At 45.9% G+C, this 11,804-nt stretch overlaps 1 annotated feature.

Moving 5' to 3' along the window:
• Positions 9,811-10,312: an enhancer, noted in NCBI's record as "H3K4me1 hESC enhancer chr22:48552617-48553118 (GRCh37/hg19 assembly coordinates)". NCBI's record gives its function as "activates a minimal SCP1, AML or CMV promoter by ChIP-STARR-seq in primed H9 embryonic stem cells {active_cell/tissue: H9 hESC(primed)}" and the evidence as "EXISTENCE:reporter gene assay evidence [ECO:0000049][PMID:30033119]".

Below are 11,804 nucleotides of genomic sequence, written 5' to 3'. Positions count from 1 at the left end.
GCTCTGAACCAAAATCCAATGGAGCCCGTGCATGTGTGTGCATGAGTGTGTGCACCTGTGTGTGTGCATGTATGAAGGTGTGCACTCGTGTGTGTGTGTATGCGTGTATGTGTGCATACAGGTGTGTTAGCATATGTGTTTGCGACTAATTTTTAGACATGTGTCTCGGCTCTTTCTCCAGCTGGGAATTTCAAATGACTTGTGAGAAAATCTGTAAGGTTAAACATGTGGATTTTGGAAGATGAGAACAAAGAACGAATACTGATACATTTTGGCTTATTATTTTGACAGTTTTGAATTCCCACAGTAGTCTTACAACCAAATCTTGTGAAAGTGTTTATTCCGTTCCGTTGACCAGAATGAGTAACAAACCTGAGAAATGCTTTTGTGTCGTACATTGTGTAGTGCATTGTTAAGGCCCTCAGGTTAGCAAAAGCTGTCCTCAGCTGTGGAGCTGACTGCAGTGTGTCACTGACATTAGCAACTGGACTTCATTTGATGAGCAGGCTGAACCTCTGGACATTAAAAAGAGTATTCACGGCCGGGCGCGGTGGCTCAAACCTGTAATCCCAGCATTTTGGGAGGCCGAGGCGGGCGGAGTCACGAGGTCAAGAGTTCAAGACCACTCTGGCTAACATGGTGAAGCCCGGTCTCTACTAAAAATACAAAAAAATTAGCTGGGCATGGTGGCAGGCGCCTGTAGTCCCAGCTACTCGGGAGGCTGAGGCAGGAGAATGGTGTGAACCCGGGAAGCGGAGCTTGCAGCAAGCCGAGATCGCGCAACTGCACCCCAGCCTGGGCGATAGAGCAAGACTCCGCCTAACAAAAAAAAAAAAAGAAAGAAAGTAAAGAAAAAAAAAGAGTCTTCACAATGACGGCTTTTTCACAACATGAAGAATAGACTAGGTTTTCTCATCCTTTGAATGGGAATGAAAATAAAATGACCTTGCAATGCTCTTGTGAAGCTCAACTTGGAAAATCAATGTGAAGCGTTTAATACACTGCCTAGGACCAGTCAGCCCTTAATATGCGATTGTTATTAAGTTTAGTCATATCATGTGAGGGTAGAGGAATTCTGGGGCATCTTCCAAGGTGGCTTCGTATGCTCATTGTGTGTGCATGTGTGTGTGTGTGTGTATGGTGTATGTGTGTGGTTTTGTATATATGTGAGTGCCACACAGAGACAAAGAATAATGTGTGGGGTGCAAATTATGACTGGAAGAGAGTGATCCCAAGTAAGAGAATGACCACCTTCATGCACAGGGGAAAATATGTTCAGGAGTTGATAAAAATACATCATGAGAAAAGAAGTCCTTAATCACTCGCCGTAACTCAGAACTGGAAACCAGCTGAGAGATGACAGATAGGAAAAGTTAAGTAGAAAGAGGCTTAGTGTATTACACAAAGCCACTCAAGAATCAATGGGCAGAACCATGGTTGCAATCTTTCCTCAATGTGCAACAGCCCCTCTCCTGCACTACAGACCTCCCTGACGCTTACAACAGGTGCATTCAGGGAACAGCCAACTGGTGCTGTTCAACATGGGTGCCACTTTGCTGTTGGGTCTGGTGCTCACTGACACACAAAGGCTTGCATAAGTATCCATGCCTCAGCCAGAAAGTTTCTCTAAGAGCCATGACAGCCTCCTGACTGAGCAATAACACGGAGTCAGAGACTGGTAAGACTATGTACTCTGAGTATCATCTCCCCTACTCCCTGGGGATCAGAGAGGCATGGAGTGCACCAGGATCCAGCCATTCACTCTATTGCTTCCTGGCTGAGTGTACACACCCATCAATTATTTCTTCCTTGCTTGCCTCAGAAGGTTAGTATGAATCTCCATTGAAATCATGGCTAAAAGAATGGGCCACATACTTGTAAATTATATCATCATCGTTCATTCATTAAACTGTGTTAAATACCTACTCTGTTCCAGGCATTAGCCTCAGTATTGGAAATACATTAAAGAACCATCACGCTAATGTCCCTAATGTTGTGGCATTGGCATTCCAGTACAGGTGGCAGAAAAAAAATACACAGCATATCAGGCGATGGTACAAGAGATAGATAAAAACAAAGCACGGTAAATGGTGTGAGGAGTGCCAGGGTCGAGGCTGGATTGCTATTTCAAACAGGACCATCAGGGAAGGTCTAACTGATAAGGTGAAATTGAGCAGAGACCTGGAGGAAATGAGGATGCAGCAATTGCCCATCGTCTGGTCGGAGTCATTGAAGATGATGGTCCATTTTAAATCCCCTGCACTACTCATCAAATTTTATTCCTCCGTCAAAGCCTGCAAAAATTTTTCAAGAAGTTTCAAAGAACTTTTCATCTGCAGGAAAATGCAGTAGCAGCTCTGCTTTAAAAGTGCTGAGAAATGAACAGCTCCTCTGGCTGTAAACCTAACGCCTGCAATTTACTCTGTACCCATCTTAGGTAGTAAAATAAATAGACCACATTGCCTGGACACAGACAAAGCTTTGTACATGAAGACAGAGCATGCAGAAAGCTATCAGGGTCTCATGAAAAAAAATGCAAGATGTCAGCAAGGCAGGCATAAGCTATGTGATCATAGGTAAGTCACTTAAAAATCTCCAAGTCTCAGGTTTTCAGCAGGATAAAATAGGGTGACATCTGCTACACCTTGTATGTCAAGCAGCTGAGGTGTGAAGACATGATGAATGAGTAAATGCTCATGTTTTGAAGTCAGCACCCTGAGAAGGCCCTGGGCTGGGTGCAGGAGAGACTTGGAGCTAAAAAGGCTGTGGTCTCTGTACATGAGTTGCTGACAACATAGAGGATAAACAGATATAAACGAAACCATGGCCAAGATGACCCTGAAATCCAAAGGATGAACTTCCATTTTTGGCCTATGGTGGGTTACTTACCATGGAAAACCTCCTACTTTATAAGTTAAATAGGCTAAAATAAATTTTAAATTTACCTTTAAAGAGCATCATGGAGCTTAAACTAAAGTACAGAAAATCCTCCTTATACAAGTCCAGTAAGCGAATGCTAGTGTGCGTGCTGCCTTGAAGGTATTTTCTATCCCAGGGACCCAGGAGACTTGAGTTATGAGGGTATCACGGGAGTGGCTCCAGGTGAGTATCTGTAACTATGTCCCTTAAATGAATGCTACCTCCTCATGGAAAAAACAAATGGAGTGGAAAACAATTTCCCTTCAAGGATACCAGGAGGGACTTTGCTCTGGATACTAGTAATAAAACAGGAGGAACCACTGAGAATGGGGAGCTGTATTCCAGGTGAATACATTTGTTGACGTTGGTCTCAGTTGGTATCACTCCCAAGTACACTGTCGATGCAAATACACACTCTTTCTTGTGGTCCCACTCCTCCTCTTCAATAACTACCTCCCAGGACATCCATGGGGTTTCAAAGAACACAATCTCTCAATTGAATCATAGAAAGCGTAAAATCAAATAAGACGCAGCAAGAGTGAACAGGATTAGGGAAAACAAACAAACGGAAGAATTATACATTCAATGACTTTATATTTTGAAAGAACACAAAATAGGAGTGTTTAATAAATTTAGAAAATAAATATTTCAGTGAAGATATGAAAAGAATAAGACAATTAAAAAGATAAGGAATATCTCATATAGAACGTTCAAGATGAAACATCTCATCAATGACATTTACTTTCAAATGTATCGGCTGAAGTCAAGTGTTAAAATATCTGAACAGGGTTCGGTGCGGTGGCTCACACCTGTAATCCCAGCACTTTGGGAGGCCGAGGTGAGTGGATCACAAGGTCAGGAGATTGAGACCATCCTGGCTAGCACGGTGAAACCCTGTCTCTACTAAAAATATAAAGAAATTAGCCGGGCGTGGTGGCGGGGGCCTGTAGTCCCAGCTACTCGGGAGGCTGAGGCAAGAGAATGGCATGAACCCGGGAGGCAGAGCTTGCAGTGAACCGAGATCATGCCACTGCACTCCAGCCTGGGTGACAGAGAGAGACTCCATCTAAAAAAAAAAAAAATTATATTTATATATTTTTATATTTTATATATTATATATAATATATAATTATACATTTATATATTATATATTATATATAATTATACATTATATATAATATATAATTATACATTTATATATTATATATAATATATAATTATACATTATATATTTATACATTATATAATTATATATTATATATAATATATATTTATGTATATATATTTGTGTATATATATACCTAAACAGAGAACAACTGTAGTGGAAGATATGTCTCAGTTAGTTGTCCAAAGGGCAGCACATAGAGACTCAGACACGGGAAATATGAAAGGAAAGTTGAGAGGAGTGGAAGGTAGAGTGAGGCAGACTGTCTACATATCAATAGGACTTCCAGAAAAAGAAAAGAATGAAGGAGAAACAGGGCGGAAGAAAGAGAGGGAGGAAGAGACAGAAAAAAAAATGGAACCCAGAGAGTATTGAACATAATGCCAAAAAAGTTTTTAGAACTAATTAAAATTAGGAATCCTCATAGACTGAGAGCCTAATTCCAACCTGGAGAAATATAAATCAATTAATATCAAGCTACATCAGTGAAGGACCATGAAATTCAAAGGCAAAGAAGATGATAAAAGAACTCAGATTACTTACAAGGAAATGACTTATGACAACAACGCACATGTTAAACATGACAATGGAAACCAAAAGAAGGAGAAGTTGTGTCTTCAAAGAGGCACCTTAGCATTTTCAACTGCGATGCTATCATTCAGCAATGAAGGTAAAGGATGTTTCGGATAATTAAACCTGATAGAGTTTATACCACTACAGACATTTCTAATGTATTTATTTCAGAGAGAAGGAAAATGATACAAAAGGAGTGTTGAGTAAAAAAATGATAGCCATGTTAGTAAACCCCCCCAAAAACCAGTAACTACAGAGAATAAGAAAGAGCTGTTTATTTCTGGAGCTAAAAGATCTACATTGCTGCTAATTAATCACCCCAATAGGTTTTGGGACACCACGAGGTACAATACCATACAGGTATAATTCCCCATTGTAAACCTGAATGGGACATCCCTTGTGCCAGACACTCTAGTGGGAACAGCACTTTCCAGGATTAAAAAATACCCGACCCTTCCTTCCATGAACCCGAACCACCTTAAAAATGAAGGGTCTGGCTGGGTGCGGTGGCTCATGCCTATAATCCCAGCACTTTGGGAGGCTGAGGAGGGTGGATCTTTTCAGGTTGGGAGTTTGAGATCAGCCTGGCCAATATGGTGAAACCCCATCTCTACTAAAAATAATAATAATAAAAATCAGCCTCTGTAACCCCAGCTACTGGGGAGGCTGAGGCAGGAGAATCCCTTGAACCCAGGAGGTGGAGGTTGCAGTGAGCTGAGTTTGCGCCACCGCACTCCAGCCCGGGTGACAGAGTGAGACTCCGCCTCAAAAAATAAATAAATAAATAAATAAAGGGCCTGTAAAAAGATCATTGTGCCAGCTGAGTGTTCGGTATCTCCAGCCCTTTATGTGGATTATTCCCTGCACTTCTCACAACAATCCCACAAAATACACCCTGGCGGGATGCCCAAGGCCTGGCCTTCCTGGCTTTCAGCCTTGCCCACTTCCACCAAGTTCATTACACTACAGACAGAATCTCTTTCTTAAATGGACATCTCTCTGAAGTGCTTCTCTAGTAAATCACTTTAGTGGGGACCACGCCCTTCAAGATCAACTTCCAGCTCCTTTGTCTGGTTTCTGTGGCTCTTTATCTCTGGGCTTTGCAACCTTAACTCCTACCTCTGATATTGGGCTCCAGCCCAGCTCTCTTTCTACAACACACACGTGCATACATGCTCACACACACACATCTGCAATCACACACGCATGTGGAAGCGCAGACATGCATTCGTGCACACACACTCACTCACACTCATGTTATGCTCTGTGTCTTCTGTCACTGACCCCCTCTCCACCACTCTGGGCTCTGCATGTAGCCTTGGCCCAAAAGAACCTGTCATCTTCTGCAAAACCTTCTGTGTCCCTCTTTCTTCCAGCCTGCCTGGCTTTTTGTTCCTGACTCAGTGTTTGTTTCCTCCAAAATTCCTAGGTTGAAGCCCTCGCCGTCAGTGTGGTCATATGTGGAGATGGAGTCTCAAATGAATTAGTTCAGGTTAAATGGAGTCATGGGGTGGGCCTAGGAATCCCTTAGGGATAGGATTAGTGCCCTTCCAGGAAGAGACCCCGGGGAACTCACTCTCTCTCTGCAGGTGCAGACACCAAGGAAAGACCACACAAGCACACAGTGAGAGGGTGGGTGTCTGCCACCCAAAGGGACAGCCCCCACCAGGCCCCAGCCCTGCCAACACCTCCATCTTGGACTTCTGGCCCGCAGGACTGTGAGAAAAATAATTCCAGTTGTTCAAGCACCCAGTTTGTGGTGTTTTGTTACAGCAGCCCGAGCTGACTAAGATAGTGTGACCTCACATGGGGTGCTCACGGCATCCCATGCCCGGGACTATCAGTGCACCAGTCACTGTGCACATCACTTTCCAGTTCCTCCGTCATCCCCTCTGTGTCCCACGATGGGCTTGAGGGCCAGAGATGTGTTTTATTGACTTCGCATTTTCTGCACAATGCAGTATAATAAGAACAAAGTGGCCTCAGTGCTCAGGAAACATTTAATGAGTGAAATGTTTAGTCACAACAGTCCTCTGGATGAGGCAGAGTAGGGCACAGAGATTGAGGTTGTCTGTCCAAAGATGCAACCATATACATCCGTCTAGTCACACGACAAAGCGTCTGCACATGACAAAAATCACCCTCCTCCTCCTTCTTCTTTCTCTCCTCCCTCCTCCTCCTCTTCTTCTTCTTCCTCTTCTCCTCCTCCTCCCCCTCCTCCTCCTCCTTCTTCTTCTCCTTCTGCTTCTCCTTCTTCTTTCTTCTTCTTCTTCTTTTTTTTTTTTTTTTTGAGATAGAGTCTCACTCTGTCACCCAGGCTGGATGGAGGAGAGCAGCGCCACAATCTCGGCTCACTGCAACCTCCGCCTCCCGGGTTCAAGTGATTCTCCTGCCTCAGCCTCCTGATTAGCTGGGATTATAGGCACATGCCACCTTGCCTGGCTAATTTTTTGTATTTTTAGTAGAGATGGGGTTTCTCCATGTTGGACAGGCTGGTCTCGAACTCCTGACCTCAGGTGATCCACCTGCCTCAGCCTCCCAAAGCGCTGGGATGACAGGTGAGAGCCACTGCGCCTGGCCACCTTCCTTCTTTATTGGTGTTCTTTGTGCTTTTTGGCTTCTTTGTCATCCAAGATTAATATTTATCTAAATAATTATTTTCAAATAATGTGTCAAGAAAACCTCAATATTTCAAGCATAAGCCTTCCGACTCACACAGGAAATTCTGCATCTTTTCAAAACCATTCATCAAATCCACTCTGGCTTGAGATATGGAGGAACACAGCTCCACATTACAACCCCCTCCTTGTGCGTTCATTTACTTATTCACTGTGCATGGTATGTGGGGTCCTGGCCTGTACCCCTGTCAGAGGACACAGGGGAGCTTCTGAGAGCTGCTGGACACTGAGTGGACACTGAGCATGTGGGGAGTGCTGAGGCGAGGACTTGCCTCACCTGTCACCAGGAAAGCCAAGCGTGCATGGATTTAGTCTAGAAACTTCCTCCCAATCGTTCATTTAAAAATGTTCTTTATCCTTGAGGAATCTCATTTGACCCAGCAATCCCATTACTGGGTATACACCCAAAGGATTATAAATCATTCTACTATAAAGACACATGCTACTATAAAGACACATATGTTTATTGCAGCACTACTTACAATAGCAAAGACCTGGAACCAACCCAAATGCCCATCAATGATAGACTGAATAAAGAAAATATGGCAAACACACACCATGGAATACTATGCGGCCATAAAAAAGAATGAGATCATGTCCTTTGCAGGGACATGGATGAAGCTGAAAACCATCATCCTCAGTAAACTAACACAAGAACAGAAAACCAAACAGGGCATGTTCTCACTCATAAGTGGGGGTTGAACAATGAGAACACATGGACACAGGGAGGGGAACATCACACACCGGGGCCTGTTGAAGAGGAGGAGGGCAAGGGGAGGGAGAGCATTAGGACAAACACCTAATGCATGCGGGACTTAAAAACTAGATGACAGGTTGATAGGTCCAGCAAACCACCATGGCACGTGTATACCTATGTAACAAACCTGCACGTTCAGCACATGCATCCCAGAACTGAAAGTAAAATAAAATTTAAAAAAAACCCAAAAAACAAACAAACAAACAAACACAAAGTTCTTCTCCCCACACCTTTGAAAAGAGGCTTTGCTTTCCTCTTGGATCACTTTCAGAGAGATAGCACCTCCTTTTGTTTTCGATGGGTTGAGATGGGTTTCTTCACGTGGACTTGGCTGATGGAATCTTTGGCTGGTTTAAAGAAACGTGTCCTGTGCTGATTTGGCACAAAACTCACATCACATCTTCTTTAAAAGATCCTGAAGTCCATGTCCCACGTTGCCGTCCCAGTGGATTGTGCATAATTGCACAATTAACAACATATTTTCACAGTCTCCACCTTGCAGAGGAGTAGAATCCTGCACTTTGTAGTTTCTTCCAGACATTTTAAAAATAGAAAAACTCATTTGGAAGAAGATTTCCTATTAGAACAGCAAAGAAAACCCCAAGTCTCTGGGGAAGTACTTGAAGCCCAAGTTCTGTAACGATTTTCAAGTTCAAAGTTAGGCTGCTCTACTCTTGCTAATGAGGCGCTCCAGCCTTGGGCTCCGCAGGTGGCTGCTACGATCTCATTAAAATGGAAGCGCCTCTTTCTATATTAAAGCGTTATCTGCCAGCCCCTCTCTACTTGGGGTGAGTCAATTAATATGGGCAGAGATTTTTAAGGCTGCAATGACTCCAGTTATCAAGGCCCCTCTCCAAACCAGACAGCAGGCCTGGGGGGAGGAGACAGACGCAGGGTGGGGTTGATGTAGGTAACACCTCTCTCCTCACCCTGAGAATGTGGCTCCATTTCAGGAGACTTGATAACAGTCTCACGAGAACACAGATACACACCATGAATCATAATTAGACTCTGCATTGGAAATGACGTTCAGTCCAGTGATTTCTCTGTCACCTGGGGGCTGGGACGGTCACCAGAGAACATGAATTTTGGCCCAGAACTTGCCATCGCTGGCCATCCTGCACCCAGGTCCCTCACAGAAGAGCGTCACTTTGTGGAGTCTCAGACTGAAGACACCAGCGCCCTCCCTCATGGCTGTGCCCCGAAAGTTACCTTTGCAAGAGGCGTCTCTGTCAACCCCCTTACTCTGGTCTCCCGGCCTCAGAGTGCAAACCCTCAGAGTGCAAGATTGATGGAAGCTCCAGCTCTGTGGGCTCTGGTGGGTCTGACACCATGGTGCGCACGTGGAAACTGAGGCTCAGGAGAGGTATCTCTCTGCTTAAAGGTATGCCTCATCCTCTTTCCCTTCCTCTATAAATTATAAAATTCTGATGATGGAATTGAAGACCTCCCAAGATTTAAGATCTTTCCCCAACCCGCTTTGCTGGCCTCAGCAGACCTCACCGTCCCACGCTTGTGGTGGGCACCATACACCGTGATGTACAGATCTCATTTCTTCCTTCCCCAAATGCCCTCCCGATTCTCTGATCAGACCAACTGCCAGTGAACCCCCAAATGCATCCTCGGACACCTCCCTAGTCCTCAGGAGAAGCCAGTCTCTGTCTCTTTCCTGGAACCTCTGCCAGCATGAGCGGGGACCTCTAGGACACCCCAGCACCCACCCTGGTAACCACCTGCTTTGCACGGTGGCTCTGCCTCCAGATGCCCTCTCCACCCTTCCAGACCCAGCTGGAGGGCCCTCTTCTCAAAAGACTTCCCTGTAACTGTGCCTTCCTCAGCTGGGGCTGCCATAGCCAAAGGCCACAGACTGGACCCAAACAGCAGACGTTTATTTTCTCACAGCCCTGCTGGCGGGAACTCTGTGATCAAGGTGTGGCAGGGTTGGGTCCTGGTGCCGCTCCACCTCCTAGTTTACAGGTGTGTCCTCTCATGGAGGGGAGGCGGGGAACTCTTTATGTCTCTGTATAAAGACGTGAATCCCATTGCATAAGCCTCACTCTAATGACCTCTTCTAACCCCAACTGCCTCCCCAAAGCTCCACCTCCTAATTACCATCACAGTGGGGGCTAAGGCTTCAACACCTGAATTTGTGGGGTATAAACATTGTGGGGACCCTGGCGCCCTGGGCGGTGCCATCTCCAGGTGGGTGGATGCTGTCCTCCCATGGATTTCCCTGGCCCTTGAATCCTGCAGCCGCTCTTCCTGGACACATGGCCTTGCATTACGGGTTGTTACAGGCAGGTTTATGGCCCATTCTTCCAGGAAGTCACCTCAATCACGAATGCCCCTAAATACCTCTCTTCTCTGACTCTTGTTTCCTGTTTTAATTAGAAACACAAGTTAAGGTATTTGAGGGCCCACTACTTATTTTAAGTGCTTTAATATTGTGTGACCAGTGACATCATGAGCTATGGGTGGCAAGGGGTGGCCCACAGCCCATTCCTGTCCCCAGTCAGGCCCTTGGCTGGTTCCCCTGAAACACCCAGGTGGGAACGAGCCTGGTTTCTACTTGGGCAGAGCCAGGTGTAAGTCCTGGCTTGAGCTGCAGGCAACTCTGTCTTGGGAAGTTGCCCTTCCTGAACCCGGCTCTTCCAGCCAGGAGCCACATTCATAATGTACCATGGTGCCCTGTAAGGTGCCAACAGACGCCAGCTCCAACATCACCCATTGGCCCCACATAACACTTGGCCAGAGGAATTTCCCTTGAGGAAACTCTGCAGTGGGTAGGGAGAGAGGGAGGGAAGGAACCCATGTCACGGGATGCCTGCTAAGCGCCGCATGCTTTGCCGGGGTCTCATCCCATCCTCGCTGCAACTTCCTGGCCAGGAACTAATTCCCCACTTCACAAACGCAGAAACCAGGGCCTAGAAAGGATGCTGGGGGATCCCAGGTCTCTCTGGATTCCCAGCCTCTCTGGCCAATGCATGCAGTCTGTGCTTCTGTCTTGGAAATGGTCCTCATTCCAAGCCTGTCCTGATTCCTCCCACCTGAGGCCCCCAGGTCCCCCATTCTCCCTGCCCCAAGCAGCATCATGAGCACCCACGCCCAGGCTGCTCCCTGCTCCATCCAAAGTCCAGAATGCTTCTGTCTTGAGGGAGACTTTGTTAAGATGGATTTCAGTTCATCTAAAATTTAGGAAGTCTTAGCAGGGAGTGAGGGTTGACCTTTCAATCCTGCATCTATGGCTGAGTGATTTTTAAACCGGGACAAGTGTTATCTGGAGCATTGACATCACTTCCACCATCGGAGGCCTGGGGCTGAGCTGCCCTTCCATGCGCCTGAGGCTTCGGCTCAGACTCCAGGGCGCCTTCCCTCTGGCCTGCAGGGGTGGCCTCCTGTTTTCGGCTGGTTCTCTGTCTATGTTGTGTTGGGAGACCCCAGAGGGAAAGTCTTCCTCCAGGGACATCCCCCCGACAAGAAGAAAACCCCCCTTCAGCCTGAGATGAGTGGCTTCGGCTGACTGTTAGGAAAGAAGAATACAGAATTCCTCTGACTTCAAGTCTTAAAAAATGGAGGCCAGCCGCGATATCGATTCTGAATAATACAGGAGTTCTAATTAATGCTGTAAATCTTGAAACTCTATCCGGCATCTTCCCACGGCAGCTGCTCAGTGTCCTGCCTGGGGCTCTGATGGCCCCGGCTTGCTTTCTGG

The sequence above is a fragment of the Homo sapiens genome, chromosome 22, assembly GCF_000001405.40.
Source record: "Homo sapiens chromosome 22, GRCh38.p14 Primary Assembly".
Classification (NCBI taxonomy): domain Eukaryota; kingdom Metazoa; phylum Chordata; class Mammalia; order Primates; family Hominidae; genus Homo; species Homo sapiens.
Note: the sequence above shows the minus strand (reverse complement) of the source record. Positions and strands in the feature narration are given on the sequence as shown.